General features: G+C 46.0%; 1 protein-coding gene across 7 annotated transcripts in view, besides 2 other annotated features; it reads left to right on the top strand.

Moving 5' to 3' along the window:
* Positions 1 to 24,312, top strand: part of TIAM1 (TIAM Rac1 associated GEF 1) — a 440,670-nt gene that overhangs the window by 31,151 nt on the left and 385,207 nt on the right. The gene's annotated exons all lie outside the window — the stretch shown is intronic.
* Positions 5,440 to 5,939: an enhancer, noted in NCBI's record as "H3K4me1 hESC enhancer chr21:32894311-32894810 (GRCh37/hg19 assembly coordinates)". NCBI's record gives its function as "activates a minimal SCP1, AML or CMV promoter by ChIP-STARR-seq in primed H9 embryonic stem cells {active_cell/tissue: H9 hESC(primed)}" and the evidence as "EXISTENCE:reporter gene assay evidence [ECO:0000049][PMID:30033119]".
* Positions 18,077 to 18,136: a silencer, noted in NCBI's record as "silent region_13239". NCBI's record gives its function as "represses an Ori minimal core promoter by ATAC-STARR-seq in GM12878 lymphoblastoid cells {active_cell/tissue: GM12878}" and the evidence as "EXISTENCE:reporter gene assay evidence [ECO:0000049][PMID:35858748]".

The raw sequence follows: 24,312 nt of genomic DNA, 5'->3' as shown, positions 1-24,312 counted from the left end.
CTCTGTTCCTGTTTGTGTAGGGAGAAGCAAGACATTTCCTTGGGAGCAAATCTGTTTCTGAAGGGTAGTGATGGGCTTGATCAGGGGACTCAATGTGATCAACATTGAGAGACTGTTGACCACAAGTGGCCCAGGTGAGTGGAGACTGGGACACACTGAGGAGATTCTAAGCATTGGGTTGGGACTGGTGGCCTTTAAGATCATATCTGTATTTTAGGATTTTGTGATAAGTGACAGGGTGGAATGGGGTGGGGCAGGTGGCTGATAGATGGGTGATTTTAGCTCCATCCCTTCCCTCTGGGAATGTCTTAACACCCAATCAGAAGAAAATGGTTAAAACTGGAGAGTCAGCTGTGAATTTAGTAATCCATCAGGGCAGATGGAGAGCTGGCAAAAATGTGTGCTAGGTCCCCATGCTCTTCGAATGTCTCACTCATCTTTGTCTTGATCTTTTAGATACTCAACGTGTTTGCTATTTAAATAATAGATTGTAGTTTAAAATCACTTCCACTTGAAATCAGGCCCTCTATTTTTAGAACTTTCCTGCAAAGTTGAGAGGCACCTAAATGTGGTCTTTTTGTGTCTCTGGGCCTCCTCTAAGATTCTGATAACCTGAGTTTACCCTACTCATTCTCTACCAAAATTTTCTATTTAGAAAATGCTTGTGTGTCAGCATGAGTAAGTCCCACGGAGGAGTTTCAGCTTAAGACAGGGGGAGGAAGCTGGGTTAACAGAGGCAGGAGGCATGGAGAGTTTTGCAGGCTCTGTATTGGTGTGCAGAGCTTCTAGGCTCCAGCTGTTGCCAAGCAGGAGTTAAATCTAGTCTCTGTGTTGGAGCCCAGTTTCTCCGGTGTCTGTTCCACAGTGTGTGGCCCGGATATCTTTGGAAGTCTTTGGAAGCTTGATGGAAGATCAGGAAAGAGTATACAGCTTTTGGCCAGGCGTGGTGGCTCACGCCTGTAATCCCAGCACTTTGGGAGGCTGAGGCAGGTGGATCACCTGAGGTCAGGAGTTCGAGACCAGCCTGGTCAACATGGCAAAACCCCGTCTCTACTAAAAATACCAAAATGAGCTTGGCATGGTGGTGCGTGCCTGTAGTCCCAGCTACTTGGGAGGTTGAGGCAGGAAAATCGCACGAACCTGGGAGGCGGAGGTTTTAGTGAGCTGAGATCATGCCCCTCTACTCCAGCCTGGGTGACATAGGGAGACTCTGTCACAAACAAACAAACAAACAACAAAAAAAGAGAATACAGCTTTTGAGATTCCCATAGATATATGATGAAGGTAAAGTACATGATGAGATATGTGACCCCAGGCTTACTATCACGATTCCCACCTGTGGCCATGCAGGGTCTGCATTGTCGTGGGAAAGCATTGTCATATCGTCTTAGAAAAAAAGGGAGTTTCCTCATGAGATTTCCTCTCCAAGTGATTTGCTGAGCAATTCTTTTTCTGTTCAGAATGACTTAAAAGGCTTAGAAGGTCATTAATTTGCTAAATGAACTCAGCTCATGGAGCCCCTGAGCATAGATAAAATAGTTACGGAAACCAGAAGTTTCCAGAAGTTTCCGCCGTGCATGCACTCATCAAAGTCAGCAGAAACAGTCAGTGGAGCCTTTGACCTCTTTTAGTTTTGCTGCTTGCTTCCCGCTGCCTTCCATCTTCCCTGGTCACTTGTTTCTTATCCTTCCCTCTTCAGTCTCCTGCTGTGAAGACCCAGATCTCATCCTGTTTGCTTACTCATCTGCCCCAGGGCTCAGTGCTGCTATGGGGGTGGCACCCCTGCCTGCCAGGCCTGAACACACAGCATGGTGGTGAGTGCCCAGACAGGGAGAACTGCAGACCAGGTTCAAAGCAAGTTGTGCTCACTTGGATGAGATAATTTTTTTTTTTTTTTTTTTTTGAGATGGAGTCTTGCTCTGCCACCCAGGCTTGAGTGCAGTGGCGTGATCTCGGCTCACTGCAACCTCTGCCTCCCGGGTTCAAGCGATTCTCCTGCCTCAGCCTCTCGAGTAGCTGGGACTACAGGCGCCCGCCACCAAGCCCAGCTAATTTTTGTATTTTTAGTAAAGGCGGGATTTCACCATGTTGGCCAGGCTGGCCTCGAACTCCTGACTTCAAATGATCCACCCATCTCAGCCTTCCAAAGTGCTGGGGTTACAGACATGAGCCCCCGTGCCTGGCGTCGGATGACATAATTAATGTGTCACCCTCTCATTTTATTTCTTCATATAATAAGAGTCCCTGGTACAGGGGTTAATAGCATGGACTCTGGTGCCAGACTGCCTGGGTTTGAATTCTGGCCCTGCTAGCAGTGTGACTTTGGGGAAGTCACTTGGCTCTGTGCCTCAAGTGCCTTGTCTATAAAATGATGATTCCTAATAGTTGGGGTATTTGTCCCCTCCAAATCTCATGCTGAAATTTGTTTCCTAGTGTTGGAGGTGGGGCCTAGTGAGAGGTGTTTGGGTCTTGGGGGTGGATCCCTCATGAATGCCTTGGTGCCATTCTCACAAGGAGCGAGTTCTCGCTCTATGAGTTCCCGTCAGATCTGATTTTTTTTTTTTTTTTTGAGACGGAGTCTGGCTCTGTCGCCCAGGTTGGAGTGCGTGGCGCAATCTCAGCTCACTGCAACCTCTACCTCCTGGGTTCAAGTGATTCTCCTGCCTCAGCCTCCGAAGTAGCTGAGATTACAGGTGTGCGCCACCATGCCTGGCTAATTTTTGTGTTTTTATTAGAGACAGGTGTCACCATGTTGGCCAGGCTGGTCTTGAACTCTTGACCTCAGGTGATCGGCCTCCCAAAGTGCTGAGATTACAGGTATGAGCCACCGCGCCCAGCCTCAGATCTGATTATTAAAGAGTCTGGCCCCTCTCTCTTTTCCTCCTCCTTGCCACGTGACATGCTCGCTCCCCCTTTTCCTTCCACCATGAGTGGAAGCTTCCTGAGGCCTCCCCAGAAGCAGATGTTGCTGCCATTTTTCTTGTACAGTCTGCAGAACCATGAGCCAAATAGACCCCTTTTCTTTGTAATTACACAGTCTCAGGCATTCCTTTGTAGCAGCACAAATGTACTAAGACAAGGATGTGTCTGCCTCCCTGAGATGTTGGGAAGAGCAGATGAATCACATGATAGAAGTTTGGAATGGTACAAGGCACACACTAAATGCTATGTAAGTTTTTGCTGTAATTATCTAGCTAAAGGAGCATTGCATGATAAAATGGATATAAAACTCTTGGGCATAGTGTTCAATACACTTCAGCTCTTTTGCTTATAAGCTTGGCAGAGAGAGAGTAAACTCTGATTATTCCTCCTGATTTCCCATTAGATTTTCCATTTTTCTATTTCAAAGCTCTCAGGATCAAACCCTTCACCAGCAAATGCTTTTTGCCATCTAGCAAGAGAATATACTTTTGAGTCCAGGTTCTGGGATTCACTAGCTAATATAGTTGGATGTCCCCTCCAAATCTCTTGTTAAGATTAACTCCCGGTGTTGGAGGAGGGGCCTGGTGGGAGGTGTTTGTGTTGTGGGGGCGGATCCCTCTTGGCTTGGTGCAGTTCTTGCCATAGTGAGCCAGTTCTCGCAAGATCTGGCTGTTGTAAAGTGTGACACCTCCCTCTACTCTCTCTTGCTCCTCCTCTGCCATGTGAGACTCCTACCCCCACTTCACCTTGCACCATGAGTAAAAGCTCCCTGAGGCTTTCCCAGAAGCCGTGCTTCTTGTACAATCTGCAGAACCATGAGCCAATTAAACCTCTTTTCTATATAAATTACCCAGCCTTAGGTATTTCCTTACAGCAATGCAAAAGTGGCCTGACACACTAGTCTTGGAAGTGTATCCTGAGTCTTAGCTTTTTTTTCACCTGAGCATTGGTAATTATCACCCCTGCAGAGCAGGCAGAGTACACTATTTTTTTTTTTTGAGTTGGGGTCTGGCTTCGTCACCCAGGCTGGAGTGAGCATTGGGAATTATCATGCCTGCAGAGCAGGCAGAGTACATACTATTTTTTTTTTTTTTTTTGAGATGGAATCTGGCTCTGTCACCCAGGCTGGAGTGCAGTGGCGCGATCTCAGCTCACTGCAACCTCCACCTCCCGGGTTCAAGTGATTCTTGTGCCTTAGCCTCCCGGGTAGCTGAGATTACAGGCCACCATGCCTGGCTAATTTTTGTATTTTTAGTAGAGATGGGGTTTCACCTTGTTGGCCAGGCTGTTCTCGAACTCCTGACCTCGGGTGATCTGCCCGCCTTGGCCTCCCAAAGTGCTGGGATCACAGGGGTGAGCCATCTTGCCCCACTGAGTACGTACTATTATCTCCACTTTATTGATGAGCAAACTGAGGTTCAGAGATGAAGAGATTTGCCCACAGTCACACAATTAGTAAACAGCTAGGTTGAGCCTGGAGGCTTCAGGCTGTATCCCTGATGTCTGGGAGCTTTTGCTATTTCATGCTGCTGCCCTGAACTATTAGTCTTCCTTCCTCACTTTCAAAATCCAGACATCTTTCTGCATTTTGAAGAGTCTTAAATGAGTGGTGCATATGACTTGTTCTCATTTGGGAAGAAGATTTCTGCTGCTTATATAAAATCATTGTGTTGTTTTAGATTTTTCTTAATTGCACTGCTTAGGACTTTTTCTGCAAAAGCATTGAACTATTCAGTTCATTAGGCTATATTTAGTGAAAATTGCACCCAGTAAAATTTCAGGGCATCCTTTTTATGTCTCGATGCTGTAGCTCTGTACTTTGATACCGTTTGTAATGGGAAAATAAACATAACTTACATGTTTTGTTTGATTTACCTCTCTTTGCAGGTATCTTTTGTAAGGTGTGATAAGTTGCAAAGAGAAATATTGCTTTGCAGAGGAGTTACTGCTGCTTAAAAACATGGCATTGGGTGCTGTTGAAATCCGTGAATGATGACAGTTTATTGAGAATGATTGAGAATGTGCTAAAAATTTATTTTATAGCTGGTCGGTGAATTATTGTGATTGCTCCTAAATTTAAACGACAGAATTTGTGGTTGTAGCTTAAAAACCTATGACATTGAAATACGGGGTAGTGTTAGATATGAGAATAAGTGTTAGATATGAGAAAAAAATGTTGTTTTAATTGGTCAAATCAAAAGAAACTTCCTGGTCATCACTATTTCCAATTCTTGATATGTTATAGCCAGTGATCCCATTTGGATAGAACTTTATAAAGGACTGCTTCGGTTGGACAGATGGGCCTTACAAGTGTTGTGGAACATTCGTGTTAGAAGCCTCCTTTGAGAGAACTGGTGGTTTGGCCCATTTACTACTGATGGGAAGCCTGAGGCCCAGCCCAGGAACAAGGGCTCCCTGACGATAAACAATTATGTTTAATAGTTTCATGGTGGGGACATGATTAATTATTATTATTTTTTGTTTTTGTTTTTGTTTTTTTTTTTGGGATGGAGTTTCACTCTTCTTGCCCAGGCTGGAGTGCAATGGTGCGATCTCGGCTCACCGCAACCTCTGCCTCCCGGGTTCAAGCGATTCTCCTGCCTCAGCCTACTGAGTAGCTGGGATTACAGGCATGCGCCACCATGCCTGGCTGAGTTTTTTTGTATTTTTAGTAGAGTCGGGGTTTCTCTATGTTGGTCAGACTGGTCTCGAACTTTTGACCTCAGGTGATCCGCCCACCTTGGCCTCCCAAAGTGTTGGAATTACAGGCATGAGCCACCGGGCCCAGCAATAATTTCTTAATAATTAAAAATTATTAAGAATAATTAAGAATTATTAAGAGCCGGCCGGGCGTGGTGGCTCACGCCTGTAATCCCAGCATTTTGGGAGGCCGAGGCGGGCGGATCACAAGGTCAGGAGATTGAGACCATCCTGGTTAACATGGTGAAACCCTGTCTCTACTAAAAATACAAAAAATTATCCGGGCGTGGTTGCAGGCGCCTCTAGTCCCAGCTACTTGGGAGCCTGAGGCTGGAGAATGGCCTGAACCCGGGAGGCGGAGCTTGCAGTGAGCCGAGATGGCACAACTGCACTCCAGCCTGGGCGACAGAGAGAGACTCCGTCTCCAAAAAAAAGAATTATTAAGAGCCAAGATTGCACCACTGCATTCTAGCCTGGGCCAGAGTGATACTCTAACAAACAAAAAAAATTATTAGAGTTCTTACTGTCCTTTACTTTGTGTGTGTGTGTGTGTGTGTGTGTGTGTGTGTTTGTGTGTGAGGCAGGGTCTTGCTCTGTTGCCCAGGCTGGCATGCAGTGGTACAAGTCATGGCTCACTACAGCCTTGAACTCCCGGGCTCAAGCAATCCTTCCACCTCAGCTTCCTGAATAGCTGGGACTACAGGTGCACACCACCACTACTGGCTAAGTTTTTAAATTTTTTGTTGAGATGGGGTATTGCTATATTACCCAGGCTGGTCTTCAACTCCTAGCCTCATGTGATCCTCCCGCCTCCACCTACCAAATCACTGGGATTACAGGTGTGCACTCTTTTAACTTTTTAAGAGACTCAATTGTGTATATCTGGTTTACATCATTTGTGATGTGAATATCAGTGCTCTAAGGATAAGTACTTTGCCCAGGGTCATGCAGCTAATGACTGCTGGAACCTTAGGTTTTCTGGATCTCTAGAATATAATCTTGAAGAGAAACTCTAGAAACCTTTTTCTAATTTAAATGAAGCCTTCCAGCTTGTCATTTTGCCAGCTCTCCGGTCATTTCCAGTTATCTGGCCATAAAATAGAAAGCCGACCTCATTAAGAGTTTTAGGATGAGGGTTTCTTTTTAGAGAAGGTGGCGGAGTTGAGGCAATTAAGAGTAAATCTGGCAATCTATTCCTTCTTCAGAAGTTGAGGAACAAGCAAGCATAAAGCTTTGAGTGCCTGCATGGATGGAGTGAAAGGAAGCAAGCCTTGGGCATTTATTAAGCACCTGCTCTGTGGCAGGCTGTGTTCTTTCACACATGCTGTGTCTAAACCCCTGACATTTGCCAGGCATGGGTTCTTTGCAGGATTTACGGTTACCTTATGAAGCAGGTGTTCTTTCACCTTACGGAAAAGGCAGCAGAAGCCTGGGGAGTTTTTAATTGGTCCAGTGGTGGGAATTGGAGGGCGAAGCATGTCTTGAATTCAGCTTCTGACCCACGCCTCCTGGCCCACAGCTTAAGTTACATAATGTTTCTTTATGTTGATGTGCAATATAAATCTCCAATCGCACGGCTGGGAAGTGCTTTTGACTGGCTTTGTTGCTTCAGCTGTCCTAAAGGAATGGCTTTCATAAACACAGAGAGGGAATTGGATTTTCGCTTTGCGATCATTCATATTACAGAAGTGGGGAAGGTCATTGCCACAGGAATCCCATTAATCCCTGAAGCTGTGGGTCCTCAATGAGTTGGCCTGCCTTAGGACAGCACATTTCTTTCCTTTTGCTGTTTATACCACAAATGCCTTTTCTCTTTTTAAGAGAAATTTCATGAATGAAAATTTAGGACTCAAAGGAAAAAGTAAAACCGCACTCAAAAACCTATTATTCTTAAACAGTTATTGCTAGTACTTCTTTTTTTTATTACAGTAAAATATGTATAACATCGTTTGTCATTGTAACCATTTCTTTTTTTTTTTTTTTGAGACAGAGTTTAGCTCTTGTTGCCCAGGCTGGAGTGCAATGGCGCGATCTCAGCTCGCCACAACCTCCGCCTCCCAGGTTCAAGCGATTCTCCTGTCCCAGCCTCCCGAGTAGCTTGGATTATAGGCATGCGCCACCACACCCAGCTAATTTTTGTATTGTTAGTAGAGATAGGGTTTTTCCATGTTGGTCAGGCTGGTCTCGAACTCCCGACCTCAGGTGCTCCGCGTGCCTCAGCCTCCCAGAGTGCTGGGATTCAAGGCGTGGCCACCGCGCCCGGCCCATTTTAACCATTTTAAAGTGTCAAGTTCAGTGGCTTTAAGTACATTTACAATGTAACGTTGCCTCACCAGCAGCCATCTCCAGAACTTTTCATCTTCCCAAATGGAAACTCCGAAACTCCGTACCCATTCAACAATAACTCCCATTTCCACCCTCCCTCCAGGCCCTGGCACCGCCATTCTACTTTCTATCTCTATGTATTCGACTGCTCTAGGGACCTCATGTAAGTGGAATCTTAACAGTATTTGTCTTTTTTGGCTTATTTCTCTTAGCATGATGTTTTTAGGGTTCTGTGTTGCAGTGCGTGCCAGAATTTCCTTCCCTTTTAAGGCTGAATAGTATTCCATTGTATGGATATGCCACCTTTTGCTTATCTGTTCATGCGTCAAAGCACGCTTGGGTTACTTCTATCTTTTGGCTGTTGTTAACGGGTGTACAAATATCTGTTCAATTTCTTGCTTTCTTTTGGGTGTTTACTCTGAAGTGGATTTGTTGGATCATGTGGTAATTCTGTTTAATTTTTTTTTTTTTTTTTTTTTTTGAGACAGAATCTCGCTCTGTGGCTCAGGCTGGAGTGCAGTAGTGCGATCTCAGCTCACTGCAACCTCTGCTTCCCAGGTTCAATCAATTCTCATGCCTCAACCTCCTGAGTAGCTGGGATGACAAACATGGGCCACAACGCCTGGCTAATATTTTGTATTTTTAGTAGAGGCGAGGTTTCTTTTTTTTTTTTTTTTTTTTTTTGAGACAGAGTTTCACTCTTGTTGCCCAGGCTGGAGTGCAGTGGCGCGATCTCGGCTCACCGCAACCTCCGCCTCCCAGGTTCAAGCAATTCTCCTGCCTCAGCCTCCTGAGTAGCTGAGATTACAGGCATGTACCACTACGCCTGGCTAATTTTGTATTTTTAGTAGAGACGGGGTTTCTCCATGTTGAGGCTGGTCTCGAACTCCTGACCTCAGGTGATCTGCCCGCCTCAGCCTCCCAAAGTGCTGGGATTACAGGTGAGCCACTGCGCCCGGCCAAGGCGGGGTTTCACCATGTTGGCCAGGCTGGTCTCGAACTCCTGACCTCAAGTGATCCTCTTGCCTTGTCCTCCCAAAGTGTTGGGATTACAGGCGTGAGCCATTTGTCTTTTATTTGAAATCCAGACTACATTTTCTGTAAAAACAATGTTACCAGGGTGATTGTTTTCCAGGCTATCCCTAAAGGCCAGAAAGCAACATGTGGATTCACTGGAGCCGGCCAGGCATGCTGGGAAGATCAGATTGCTATTACTTGCACCTGGCTTTGTCCTATCTCCATGATGTGAGCTGCCACCCCACCTTCCCAGTGTAAGCATTCCTGTGCTTACAGTGGGGGTGATACTGGCTCGCCTGCATTATTGTTGAAAAAGATGAAGTGACTGATGATGGTATTTCATTTCCTAAGCCACAAATTCAGTAGCTTAAAAAACACTCATTTAGGGCCGGGCGCAGTGGCCAACACCTGTAATCCCAGCACTTTGGGAGGCTGAGGCGGGTGGATCACCTCAGGTCGGGAGTTTGAGACCAGCCTGACCAACATGGAGAAATCCCGTGTCTACTAAAAATACAAAGTTAGCTGGGCGTGGTGGCGCATGCCTGTAATCTCAGCTACTTGGGAGGCTGAGGCAGGAGAATCACTTGAACCCGGGAGGTGGAGGTTGTGGTGAGTCGAGATCATGCCATTGCACTGCAGCCTGGGCAACAAGAGTGAAACTTCATTTCAAAAAAAAACCCCAAAAAACCCACAAAAAAACCCCACTCATTTATTCTTTTTAAGTTCTGAGACCAGAAGTCCCAAATGAGTTCCACTGGCCCCAACTGTAATTGGCAGGGCTATGCTCATACCCAAGGCACCAGGGGAGAACCCTTGCCTCTCCAGCTTCTGGTATGAGAGAGGGAGATCTTTTTCCTCTACCCATCTTAGGATTTCTGGCTGAGGCCTTATATGTTAGACTAGCAAAAGACAGATTAACGGGAGAAAAGCATGCATATTTTATTGAGTTATTTTTACAAGTTCATGAGAAAAATGAAGACTCGAAGGGGCGGTGAGGGCTGAGAGCTCATATACTTGTTTGAACCAAGTGCATTAAACTGTGGAAACGTGGCTAGGCAGAGGGGTTTGGGCTAAGGAAGTTGATCATGGAGGAGTGACTAGGAAGATAAGGGTTAGTTTAACAAGGTTTGTTTGTACAGATTTCTCTTGGCCTCGACTCGCCATCTCTGTTGATAAGAAAGTTTCCTTCCTCCTGGTACAAGAAGGACATCTTTTGCATGGTTTTATTTCTGGCTTGCAGGAAGAAAAAGGAGGTCAGAGTGCCCTTCTTGCATCTGTTGTTTAAGTGTCTTTAATTCAAAACTTTCCTTAAGCCAAAGTGGCATATTTGGGTGTTTCATATTCTACCATGGTACCGGCATTCCTTGGCCTGTGACTGTATTGCTCCATCTCTGCCGCTGTGGTCACATAGCTTTTTCCTCTTCTGCGTGTGTTTTCTTCTCTTAGATCTACGTGGACTCTCCCTCTGCCTCCCTCTTTAGGGCCTGGGGATAACTTTGGGGACAGTTTTAGTCTTCCACAATGAGTAATCATAGTAATAGTATCATCCATTAATATTTTTATATTATAGGACCGTTTTAAAGTTTTAACAATTTATTTATTTACAGAGACGGGGTTTCGTCATGTTGCTCAGGCTGTCTTGAACTCCTGGCCTCAAGTGATTCTCCTGTTCTGGCCTCCTAAAGTGCTGGGATTACAGGCACGAGCCATGACCCTCAGTCTGTTTTAAAGCTCTTTACACAGATCTCCTGAGATCGTGTGATGGAGCAGGGAACACTTGTGTGGTCTGCCTTTAGAGTTGTAGCCTTAACCGCTGCACTGTGAGCCTTGAAGACCCTGACATAGTGCTTGGCAAAGAGAGAAGCCTAGAACATGTGAATTCATTGTATTCTTTTCTTTTCTTTTCTTTTTTTTTTTTTTTTTTGAGACAGAGTCTTGCTCTGTCGCCAAGGCTGGAGTGCACCGGCGTGATCTTGGCTCACTGCAACTTCCACCTCCTGTGTTCAAGTGATTCTCCTGCCTCAGCCTCCCAAGTAGGTGGACTACAGGCGCCCGCCACCACGCCCAGCTAATTTTTGTATTTTTAGTAGAGATGGGGTTTCACCATATTGGTCAGGCTGGTCTTCAACTCCTGACCTCGTGATCTGCCTCGGCCTCCCAAAGTGTTGGGATTACAGGTGTGAGCCACCGAGCCCAGCCTGAATTCATTATATTTCTAAGGATTTTGTGCTGTGCTGCCCTGTTATTCAATTTTATTCTGATTTTTATCTATCTTTTCTTCTCCTTCTTTTTTTTTTTTTTAGGGTAAGTCCAGTTGTGTGAGCACCAATAGTGTGTTGAGTTTTGCAGGGTGGAAGCTTGGAATCAGTGGCTCTAATGAGGCAAGAGGACGTTATACCAAATACTGTGGGTTAATTTCTCTTAGAGAATTCTCTTCCTTAGGGAGTGGTTCAACTCTGCTGTCCTGATGGAGCCAGTGAAGACTCCTTTTGAGACATAAACCAGTGTCATTCCCAACATTGCCCTAGTGTGTTTTATTTTTTAATTTTATTTATTGTTTTGAGACAGAGTCTCTCTTTGTCACCCAGACTGGAGTGCAGTGGCGAGATCTCAGCTCAGTGCAACCTCCACCTCCTGGGTTCAAACAATTCTCCTGCCTCAGCCTCACTAGTAGCTGGGATTACAGGCACATGCCACCACTCCCGGCTAATTTTTGTATTTTTAGTAGAGATGGGGTTTCACCATGTTGGCCAGGCTGGTCTTTAACTCCTGGCCTCAGGTGATCTGCCTGCCTTGGCCTCTCAGAGTGCTGGGATTACAGGTGTGAGCCACTGTGCCCAGCCCCTATTTTTTTTTTTTTTTTTTGAGATGGAGTCTCGCTGTATCTCCCATGCCGGAGTGTGGTGACGCCTTCTTGGCTCACTGCAACCTCCGCCTCCTGGGTTCAAGTGATTCTCCTACCTCAGCCTCCTGAGTAGCTGGGATTACAGGTGCACACCACCACACCCAGCTAATTTTTCTATTTTTAGTACAGATGGGGTTTTGCCATGTTGCCCAGGCTGGTCTCGAACTCCTGACCTCAGGTGATCCGCCTGCCTTGGCCTCTCAAAGTTCTGGGATTACAGGTGTGAGCCATGTGTCCAGTCCCTGGTGTGTTTTAGAATCTTACTGCAGACAATGGTCATGAACAGGAGCCACATATTAATTTTTCCCAAATCACTTGCTCCATGGAAATTCTGACCGAGTCTGGCTTTATTCTGCAGGATTTTATTCTGCAGGATTCCTGGGTGTTGCTGGCGCTGCATGTCTGAAGATGGTGGTGGAGGTTCAGCAGCCTGTAAAGTTGTCGATTTCACACTGCCCTTTCAAGTTTTAGAAGAGGTTATTTAGCTTAATTCAACAATTGGGTGTTTATAGGGTGCCTAGCTTGTGCCAGACTCTGAGGGACTTACAATGACAGAGTCCTAAGCTAAGTAGGGAGGAGGTAAAGTAGTGATTATGGCTGTTGAAGTGGGCAAAGCTTGAGTGGGCATCAACACCCCCGGAGGGCTTGTGAAAGCACAGGTTGCTGGTTCACCCCAAGCTTCTGTTTCAGTAGATCTGGGGCACAGTGCACAGATTTTGATATTGATGCCACTGGTCCAGGGACCACACTTTGAGGATTTCTGTGCAATAGGATGGAGGATAGAGTATCTAACTCAACCTAGAAGATGGTGAGATTTTCCTAGAGAGACAAAAGAAGAAGGGGCCCTCCAGGCACATGAGGGCTGCGTGGGGAGGGTGGGTCATGATTTTGGAGTTGGGGCCTGTGGGTCGATAGCGAAGAAAGGTAAAAGGTGGATAACAAAGGGTAGGACTGGTTTTTGGTCCAGGGCCAAACTTGGGTTTCTGCAAAAGTGTAGTCAAATCCACAATGTCCTTTGGCAAAAGAGTCACCGAACCAGGCAAGGCCCGTCTGCCTACTTCTGGGTCTGGCAGCTGTCGTGTGCCTGTGTAATAGACATAATGAGAGTTGGAAGCAAGAAATAAAGTGACTCTATCTTGCTTTCCATCTCTCCCAACTCCTAACATCGGCTTTCCGCTGGAACAAAGTCTGCTTTGTCCCGTGGTTCCACCCAGCTGCGGGCTGCAGGAGGCCTTTTTCTTGCAGAGAGAGGGCAGCGCAGCTGCATCAGCAGGGACCACACTCCAGACCTCCAGGCGTGCACTCTGCAGTTCAGAACGCTGGAGGTTTGGAGGACTGTGGTTGTATCAAAACTCAGATCAATATTTTTTTTTTGAGATAAGCGTCTCACTTTGTCACCCAGGCTGGAGAACAGCGGTGCAATCTTGGCTCACTGCAATCTCCACCTCCCAGGTTTAAGCGATTCTCGTGCCTCAGCCTGCTGAGTAGCTGGGTTTACAGGTGTGGTGCCTGCCACCACACCTGGCTATTTTTTTTTTTTTTTTGTATTTTTAGTAGAGATGGGGTTTTACCATCTTGGTCAGGCTGGTCTCAAACTCCTGACCCCAGGTGATCTGCCCATTTTGGCCTCCCAAAGTTCAAAAATCAATATGATTTTTTTAACTTTCCAGCTAGGAACTTAACATTTGTGGCAGCTGCTTTGCTGGCCCTGAGCAATTGGTGGCTAATCTTTAGAACCCTAGAAGGAAGAACCTAGAATTTGTAAATTCTCTCATTAAACGAGATTGGTTGGATAATTGCCTTTTTGGTCTTAAACGGTTTTTACTTTCTTTAATCTTGGGTTTGCATTATGTGTGGGGGCAAACATCTTTGATTCTACAAGTCAGGGAGTCTGTTCTTAATTTCACCTCTTAGATCATGAAATACAATTGAGGGTGGGATGAGGCAGGAGGATGGGGTCAGAGCCGCTTTTGAAATACAAGGGAATTTTCCTTCCAGAAATGTCCCTCTGTCGCAGGCCTTTGGGGGATGTGCCAGAACCTTATTATTATTATTTTTTTGAGATGGAGTTTCGCTCTTGTTGCTCAGGCTGGAGTGCGATGGCACCATCTCGGCTCACTACATCCTCTGCCTCCCAGGTTCAAGTGATTCTCCTGCCTGAGCCTCCGGAGTAGCTGGGATTACAGGCATATGCCACCATGCCCGGCTAATTTTGTATTTTTAGTAGAGATGGGGTTTCGCTATGTTGGCCAGGCTGGTCTTGAACTCCTGACCTCAGGTGATCCACCCGCCTCGGCTTCCCAAAGTGCTGGAATTACAGGCATGAGTCACTGCATCTGGCTCCAGAACCTTATTTTTACAAGTAGGTCTAGATTGACCCTAAAGAAAACAACTGAAGGGCATGGTATCTGTACAAGAGTTTCCATTAAAACAGATCCAGAAGTTAGCTCTTTCAATATAGGTATATTCTGGTTTCTAAGGAGCTAATTTTGACAGTCTGATTCTACTGCTAAAGAACATGGAAGGGATGATGACTGCTGAAAGGGTGAGAGCTTGTGGGTCACCCTCCTGAATGGCAGGGCTGTTTGTTTAAGAGTTTGCATTTCACAACATGGTAGCATTGAAACTCAAGAGGAAGTTCGCTTAATAGCGAACAGGGGCACCTGAGATAGTGAGAAAATTGATGAAGAAATCAATTAGAGCAGCACAGACTAGTGGACTGGAATCCCAGCTCTTAACTTTGGGCAGGTAGCTTCTCTGGGCCTCAGTTTCCCCACCTGTAAAATGGTGTCATATAGTTTACCTATTTCATAGGGTCATTGTGAGGATTAAATGAGTTAATATTTGTGAAGGGTTTAAAATAGTGTCTGGAACATGGTACGTGTATATGTATGGAACATATATATATGGCATGTGTGAAAATGTTTATTAAACAAAATAAATAGCATTGCTTTAGAAGTTAAGAATTATGTTAAAAAAGAGTAAATGTTAAACTTCACTGAATTTTTAGCATAGAGCAGTTAGCCCTCTGGAAGCCTGTTTCCTCATAGTCTTTAGTGTCCAGTCTCATATTGTTTATTTTAGAACATTATAGTTTTCCCTATGGTTAGAAAAGACTGTCTTTGGCTGGGTGCCGTGTGTCGTGCCTGTAATCACAGCACTTTGGGAGGCTGAGGTAGGAGGATCACTTGAGCTCAGGAGTCTGAGACCAGTCTGGGCAACATGGTGAAATCCCGTCTCTACCAAAAATACAAAACAAACAAACAAACAAACAAAAAAACACCTAACTAGGCATGGTGGCTTGCAACGGTTGTCCCAGCTACTTGGGAGTCTGAGGCGGGAGGATTGCTTGAGCCTGGGAGGTGGAGGTTGCGGTGAGCCAAGATCACGCCACTGCACTTTAGTCTGGGTGACAGAGTGAGACCCTGTCTCAAAAAAAAAAAAAAAAAAGAAAAGAAAAAAGAAAAAGACAGGACTGTCTTTGACTCTGGAAAAGAAAAGAAGGTCCCGGGAGTTTTCCTCAGAATTTAGTCCCTGGAGTTAAATATTCTGAAAAAATGAAGTAGGAAGGATTTTGCAGAGGGCTGTGTCCGTAGTTTTCAAACTGGGTCACAGGCCATTCATTGATTTATATAGTGCTGTTGTGACAACAGTAAAAATAAAATTGTGGCCAGATGAGATGGCTCATACCTGTAATTCCAGCACTTTGGGAGGCCGAGGCGGGTGGATGACTTGAGCCCAGGAGTTTGAGACCAGCCTGGGCAACACAGGGGAGGCCCCACCTCTACAAAAAGTGAAAAAAAATTAGCTGGGCATGGTGATATGTGCCTGTAGTCCCAGCTACTTGGGAGGCTGAGGTGGGAGGATCGCTTCAACCTAGGAGGTCAAGGCTGCAGTGAGCCAAGATTGTACCACTGTACTCCAGCCTGGGCAACAGAGTGAGACCCTATCTCAAAAAATAAAATAAACAAATAAAATAAATTGCAGTAGGATAAGGAAATTCAGTGCATCCCAGGCAGCTTAGGTAAATGTCTTGTCAACGTTTTTGTGTGTGACATACCCAGGAGTTTGCCACGGGCTGTGGTTTGCCACTTGACCCTAACCTGCCACTCTCCTTCGTGCCCATGGCTGAGATGGTGTCTCTCTTGTCTATTTCTGCCTGTCACTTCCAGCTGATTTTTCAAATAGATTCTCAAATTAAATTTTGTTGTTATAATATTTTTCCCTTGCCCTAGCAACGAGGTGTAAGTTTGGGACATTTTAATCATTTAGGAATGTTTCCTTTGTATTATTACATTTTCCCTTTCTGCAAAGTGCCTTCCTGGAACTTTGGTGAATTTTAAGGTTACACATGATCAGTCCAGGATCGGGGAGGCCCGACCCAGGATTCTTCGGGATTTCACATACAACTGAGAGAAGCATACGTCGGTGACATAACTCTTTGTCAGGACTTATCAAACCCATGCATAGCTTGGACTCGGTGCCAGGCATTGATTGCTGCGTAAGTATTGCCTCATGTGATTTTCCTAGCAGGATGAGCTAGATACTATTATTATCATGCCCTTTTTACAGATGAGGAAAACTGAGGCCCTGGGGGTGTGTCTTGGCCAAGGTCAGATGTCTGGTAAGGGACAGACCAAGGTTCTGAACCCAGGCAGTCTGGCCACAGAGTCCGCACTAAGAATTCCTCTGCTAGGCTGTATTGCAAGTCAATTATTGAATTTTATTAGAAGGAAATAGTGTTGACGGAGGCTTTCTATGTATGGCTAAGCGGCCTCAAGAGGTCTGAACCTTTAGTGCCCAGCCAACTGCTCACCCTGGTTTCCTAGGGCTGAGTGTCCTAGGGTTGCCCTAACAAAGTGCCACCAACAGGGTGACTTAGAACAACACAAGTTTATTCTCTCGTTGTTCTGCAGGGCACAAGCCCAGACTCAGGGTGCCCGCGGCATTGGTTCCTCCTGTGATGCTGTGTAGAATCCTTCTTTGCCTTTTCCTAACTTATGGTGCTTCCCAGCAACCTATGGCATTCTTTGACTTGTCTCTCTTCTGTTGCCACATGGCGTTGTCCTATGTGTCTCTGCTTTCAAATGGTTACCTTCACTGTGTGTATCTTTGTGTCTTTTTTCTTCTTGCAAAGACACCAGTCATAGGAACTCAGGGACCACCCTACTCCAATATGTCCTCATCTTAATGAATTACATCTGCAAGACATGATCATAAAAAGTAAACAGTTTTTTTTGTTTTTTTTTTTTTGAGATGGAGTTTCACTCTTGTAGCCCAGGCTGGAGTGTAGTGGCATGATCTCAACTCACTGCAACCTCCGCCTCCTGGGTTCAAGCAATTCTCCCGTCTCAGCCTCCTGAGTAGCTGGGATTACAGGTGCTTGTCACCACGCCCGGCTAATTTTTTGTATTTTTAGTAGAGACGAGGTTTCATCTTGTTGGCCAGACTGGTCTCAAACTCCTGACCTCAGGCAATCCATCCGCCTTGGCCTCCCAAAGTGCTGGGATTACAGGTGTGAGCCCAACAGTTTTCAAATGAGGTCTGTTATGGGCTGAAATGTGTTCCCCCAAAACTTCCTATGTTGAAACTTCATATGTTGAATCCCGAACCCTCATTACGCCAGAATGTGATTGTATTTGGAGACAGGACTTCTAAAGAGATGATGAAGTGCAAATGAGGTCCTTAGGGTGGGCTCTAATCCATCTGACCGTTGTCCTTATGAGTAGAGGAAATTTGGTCATAGAGGCACCAGGGATGTGCACGCACAGAGGAGAGGCTGTGTGAGGACACAGCGAGAAAGAAGGCAGCCATCTGCCAGCCGAGGAGAGGCCTCAGGAGAAACCACCCTGCTGGCCCTTTGGTCGCGGACTCCAGTCTCCAGAACTGTAAGATAATAAGTTGCTGTTGTTCAAACCACCTAGACTCTGGTATTTTGTTATGGCAAGCCTAGCAAACTGATGCAGTTACATTTACGGGTACCCCGGGTTAGGACTTCAGCATATCTTTTTGGGGGATGCACTTCAGAACCATAGCACCAGGCTTTGCTGTCAGGAGGTCCTTTGATGGCTGTGCCTCATAAAAGATGCTAGTTCTGGTCTGGGGTTGTGATTTTCATGTCTTTTCTGCCTGGGCACTAGTACCTCTGCCTGAGATAGATAAACACACTCTCGTGGTGGGGAGGGGCCCAGCGGTAATTGGCTGACTCATCCCTGAAGTTCTGCGGCTCTCCAGGCACGTGGAATTTACTGGTAGAAAGAACTGTCCTTCCAGGTAGGGGGCGCCCCTGAGAGAGAAACATGCAGCCCCGTCTTTGTTGCAAGGGAAGGGCCTCTGACTTTTATCCCTTTTAGAGATGATCTCTGTCTGACAGTGTAGACAAAGCACAGGGCATTGGAACTGTCTTAACTCCCTGCCTCTCTCTCCTCTCTGTGGGTCCTTGATGCCTGCAGGGGACTGAGAGAGGCGTGCCTCGGGAAGGAGATGAGGCATGAGACATGCTATGAAACGGCTGGTTATTTTTACTTCCTGCCTGGGTGTGGGTGTTTGTGTTGACAGTGGCGGAGGAGGTGCAGTGATGAGTGCTGGAACAGTTGGGTGCCCGAGGAGCGGGTGGGAAGTGGCGCCTGTGCCAGGCAGGTGACTTGGTGCTCACATGGCCCTTGAGTGGGTCCTGGGGGCTTTGCAGGACTCCAGGAGAGCTGGGTTTGCACCTCTGCCGGGGGATGTCTGCTTCCTTTTTCCATGTCATATTCAGGAGGCTTCCCCATGCCATGCCTGATCCATCCAACAGGGTGAGACACTCCCAGCTGTAGTAGTGGTTCCCTAAATGGGTGAGTCTCCCTGGGGTGACCTCCCAGTCTCAGCAGGTAGGGTTTGTCGGGTAGTCCTGAAGAACCGTTGTGCAGGGTGCCCTCCATACCCCATAATCTCCACCACGGAGGCACGCAGATACTCCAAATGTATTCAAACATAGATCTCATGGAAAATCAGTGGCCTGCTCTATGACCCAGCTTTAAGACTCATTCCCTCCAGGGGGTCTCACCTCTTGCTGGCTTCTCTAGACATGGGGGTGGAGGCATTTTTGTTCATGACAAGGCATGGGGGAGGGGCAGGTGAGTTCGTAGCACAGCCCAGTTTGCTAAATGTCCTGCAGCAAGTCATATCTTAATACCAATAGTGTGCGCATAGGTCTCCCATGGGGGTGATCAGGAACTGCCCTGTGGGCTAGCTTGAAAAAGACTCCGTGGGAACCTTAGGACCACTTCAACGCTAGGATCTCGGATATAGTCTAAGGGCACACTCACCCTACAGAGTCAGAAGCTGAGACCCAGGTCCACAGGCCAGGATCGAAAGTTGGTTAGAAATTTCAAGATGAGTCTGGGCGCGGTGGTTTATGCCTGTAATCCTAGCACTTTGGGAAGCAGAGGCGGGCAGATCACCTGAGGTCAGGAGTTTGAGACCAGCCTGGCAACATGGAGAAACCCCATCTCTACTGAAAATACAAAATTAGCTGGGTGTGGTGGTGGCTTATGCCTGTAATCCCAGCTACTTAGGAGGCTGAGGCAGGAGAATCGCTTGAACCCGGGAGGCGGAGGTTGCAGTGAGCCGAGATTGTGCCATTGCACTCCATCCTGGGCAACAAGAGCCAAATTCTGTCTCAAAAAAAAAAAAAAAAAAGAAATTTCAATATGAAAACCTAGTTCTTTATTTCTCTATCTCTCTCCTCCCCACTCCAAGGAAAGGTAGAAAAGAATCCAACCTAGGACTACGTTCCACCCTGTAGGGTTTCCTAGGGCTGTGCTAACAGAGTACCATGGAGGGGAAGCGTCAAGCAATGCAAATGTAGTCTCCCACAGTTCAGGAGGCTCGAAGTCCACGACTGAGGTGTGAGCAGGGCCACGTTCACTCTGAAGGCTCTAAGGAAGAACCTGTCCTTCCCTCTTCCAGCTTCTGGTGGCTTCCTCAGTGTGCAGCTGCGTCCTTCCTGTCCCTGTCTGTGTCTTCCATGTCCTCCTTCCCCATGTCTGTCTGTGTCCAAGTCTCCCTCTTTTTATTAGGACATTGGTCATTAGAATAGGGCCCACCTTAAGCCAGTATGACTTCATCTTAACTTGATTATGTCTACGAAGACCCTATTTCCAGTTGGGTCACAGTCACAGGTTCTGGGAGGTAGGACAGGTAGGACTTCAGCATATCTTTTAAGGCACTCAATTCAACCCACAGCACACACCCACCCCTGGGCTACCACCCTAAAACACCTTCCCATAATATGATTGATGGCAGAGTTACTGCTGCCTGCGTCAGTTTCACTGTTGTCTGTCTGCTCCAGATAGCTGCCTGTGATCTGATTCCTGTCTGTCCCTCCTGCTAGACTGTGAGTCCCAAGAGGACGGGGACCATGACTTTAGGTCATGATTGATCGTATCCCAGGTACATAGCCCAAGGCCTACCATATAATTGGTGCTGAATAAACATTAGTTGAATAAAAAAGAAAACATATTTTGCTATTAGTTGTAGTTATGGAGAAGTGTGATATAATTTTAAAAGGGACCAGACATGGTCCCTTTTACAGGCTCACACCTGTAATCCCAGCACTTTGAGAGGCTGAGGTGGGCAGATCACTTGAGGTCAGGAGTTCAAGACCAGCCTGGCCAACATGGTGAAACCCCATCTCTACTAAGAATACAAAAAAATTAGCGGGGCATGGTGGCAGGTGCCTGTAATCCCAGCTACTCAGGAGGCTGAGGCAAGAGAATTGCTTGAACCCAGGAGGCAGAGGTTTCATGAGCTGAGATCCTTGCACTGCACTCCATCCTGGGCGACAGAGAAAGACTCTGTCTCAAAAAAAAAAAAAAAAAAAAAAAAAAAAAAAAAAAAAAAAAAAATTAAAAAGGTGCATGCACCTCAAAAAATTAAAAATAGAATTACCATATGATCTAGCAATTTCACTTCTGGGTCTCTACCCAAAAGAATTGAAAGCAGACACTTAGAGAGATATTTGCATACCCACGCACATAACAGCATTATTCACAATAGCCAAAAGAGGAAGCAACCCAAGTGTCTGTTGATTGAGTGGGTCAACAAAATGTGTATACGTACAGTGGAATATGATTTAGCCTTAAGAAGGGAGTTTTTTGTTTGTTTGTTTGAGACAGGGTCTCCCTCTGTCGCCCAGGCTGGAGTATAGTGGCACGATCTCGGCTCACTGCAACCTCTGCCTCCCGGTTAAAGTGATTCTCCTGCCTCAACCACCCAGGTAGCTAGGATTACAGGCTTGCGCCACCATGCCTGGCTAAGTTCTGTATTTTTAATAGAGATGGGGTTTCACCATGTTGCCCAGGCTGGTCTTGAACTCCTGACCTTGAGTGATTCAACTGCCTCAGCCTCCCAAAGTGCTGGGATTACAGGCATGAGCCACTGTGCCTGGCCAAAAAGGAAGGAAATTCTGACACATGCTACAACATGGATGAATCTTGAAGACATTACGTTAAGTAAAATTAGCCAGACACAGAAAGAGAAATACTATGTGATTCCACTTGTATGAGGGACCTAGAGTAGTGAAATTCAAGGGAGTTTGTGTTGGACGGGTATAGACTTTCAGTTTAGCAAGATGGAAAGAGTTCGGAAGATGGATGTTGGTGATAGTTGCACAATAATGTGAATGTACTTAATAACACTGAACTGTACACTTAAGAAGGGTTAAGATGATAGATGTTATGGTATATGTATTTCTTATACCTTAAAAAAAGATATGGAAGGGAGGAAAAAGATGCAGATGCATATGTGTGTGTGTGTGTGTGTGTACGTGTGTGAGAGTGCGTGAGTTTAGAGAGAGTGCTATTAGGGATGGGAAGAGAGATGGAAATGGGGAGGGAGCCTGTGTAGGTGGCTGATTTCCTGCTGTGAAGAGGAGTCGTGCTGGGCAGAAAACTATGAGGGCAGCCATCAGTGCCTGGGTTGTAATCAGAGCTTTGTCTCCAGCAAGCTGTGGGACCTTGAGCAAGTTGGTCGTTTCCTGTTGTGCGCATCAGCCTTTTTTTTTTTTTTTTTTTTTGAGGCAGAGTCTCACCGTGTCGCCCAGGCTGGAGTGCAGTGGCCCAAGATCTTGGCTCAGTGCAACCTCCGCCTCCTGGGTTCAAGCATTTTTCCTGCCTCAGCCTCCCAAGTAGCTGGGACTACAGGCACCCGCCACCACGTCCGGCTAATTTTTGTAATTTTAGTAGAGACGGGGTTTCATTCACTGTGTTGGCCATGCTCGTCTCGAACTCCCGACCTCAGGTGATCCGCCCGCTTCAGCCTCCCAAACTGCTAGGATTACAAAAAAAATCTGATGCCGTGCCCGGCCTGGCATCAGCTTTTAAAATGAGCTGGAATAGTAACCTTTGATGATCTTTCCATCTAAGAAAACTTCAGAGGCTTTAAACATCTAAGACGGTAATGCTGATCCACTGATTTTTTCCCCCACAATTCTCTGCAATGTCTACACTCAATGAGTGCTCTTCCAATTCCATGGGCTCCAGAGTGTGCTGGTTGAAGTAGTTATCTTAGTCATCTTTTTGGTCAAGAATTCCCTGTGTTTGTGAATGACACCAGTGAGCTTGGCTTAAGAAGAATACATTTACTTTTTTTTTTCTTGATCTCTCTTTGCTCTTTGTTTATCCAGTTTCCAGGTCTTCTAGTTTTAAAATTTCCTTGACCTTTCATATCTTTTAACATTTATACTTCTTGGTCTTAGAATCTAATTATTCATGCTGATGATAATATCTCCTGTAGAGAGCTAAGCTTTTTTGCATGAGTTATATCATTGAATCCTATGTCAACACTGTGAGGTGGATTCACGATCTCTATCTTGTAGGTGAGGAAACTGAGGGTTAAGTAGCTTGCTTGGCCTTGTGGTCGCCCGGCCAATCAGTGGCTGAGTTGTGATTGAATCTGGTTTGTTCTTAGCTACACACCATGGGATGCTGCTTTAGGCCCATGGGGTCCTCACTCATTCTGTGTCCTAAGTCCCTTTATGACAGGGATTGTATCTTTTTATTTTTGGTGTTTCTGAGGTCTCCAGTGCGGGACTGTCAGAGGCTAATAACAAATTTGTTGAAGGTACTTGCTAATTTCTTTAAAAGTGGTCATTTCTGTCTTGCAGTATCAGGGCAGGAGTATCTATTATGTGGAGGAGACCATAGCTGTCAAGTTCTTAGCTTCTGGGAGAAGGGTCAGGTTTCTCTAGAAGTTTTTTCTTTTTTTTAGTAACAGTGGTTATTAGCAAGCATGAGATCCTGAAAAAATGCAGGCCGATGAATACTACTTTAACATCCAAAGAAGAAAGGGATGACTTGGGATCTGAACGTAGAAAAAACCAAACTGAGTTCTGCATTTCCCCCTCCACTGCAGAAGTCATCAGCCCCTGGTGCAGTCAGAGACATTGACCTGGAGAACTACCCTTGGTTCCACTGGGTTGAGCTAACTGGGAAGTAGGAGCTTTACCAGCTTTGGAAGTTTTCATGTTTTAGTCTTTTCAGATCTAACAGAGGAGCGACCTAGATCCCAGCTCCCCATATTGCTTCTGCTTCTTACAGTGGCATTCTTGAACTTGGAGGAGGGGTGCATTGCCCTCAAGGTGGCTTCTGAAATTGCCAGGTAGCGAACTTGTTGTACCTTCTTTTTGACATAGTGGCAGCCCATCCTTGAAAAGTATCGGGGAATGAATTACCCCAAAGGGTTGGATTCCTCACTTCTCAGCGGCCATGCCCCCTCTTCTGGATGCACCCTTGCATCTCTGTGAAGATTAAATCAGATCTCCCTTTTACCTGCAAAGGCAACCCCTCTCAGGCTGTTGTTCATTGTAGGCCTGGGTTGCCTTGTAACACATATGCCAGCAAGCAGGAACCTGTCAGTCCTCAGCAAGTCAAGACAGACAGCATGCCAGCCCTTTGCACGCCCATGCTTAACTTGGAGAGCGCTCATGCTTCATCTGGAAGATTCAGGCTCTTGTTCACTGTAAGGTTGGGCAGGGATTGGCAGGAGGGACAGTTACTCTTTTATCCCTTTGTGAATGATACCATATAAGCATTAGAGATCTGCTCTGGGAAAGTGGATGGGCTGATCCCAACTCTTCCATTGGAATACCTAGGATAGTTAGTCTATCAAATCGTGCTTAGAATTTTGGACGTGGAAGGGGTCATAGTCTGGTCCTCACTTTTTTTTTTTAAACATAAATTAACCTATTTATTTTAGGCTAGTGATGTCTCAAATGGTGGTGTTTCTCCTGGTCTTTCAACCTCTCCAGTCTTCTGAGGGCGGACTTTACTGTGATGATGAAGAGGTATTGTGGGTCCTGACACTGTCAGCCACTGTTTTCATGCAGGATGCACAGTGCTGGATCCCTACAGCCTGCCGTTTTGGTTTTGTCAGAGAAAAAGCAAGTGTATTTTGGAGTGCTG

The sequence above is a fragment of the Homo sapiens genome, chromosome 21 (genome assembly GCF_000001405.40).
Source record: "Homo sapiens chromosome 21, GRCh38.p14 Primary Assembly".
In the NCBI taxonomy this organism is placed as follows: Eukaryota; Metazoa; Chordata; class Mammalia; order Primates; family Hominidae; genus Homo; species Homo sapiens.
The sequence above is the reverse complement of the archived record's forward strand: the minus strand, read 5'-3'. Positions and strand labels throughout refer to the sequence as shown.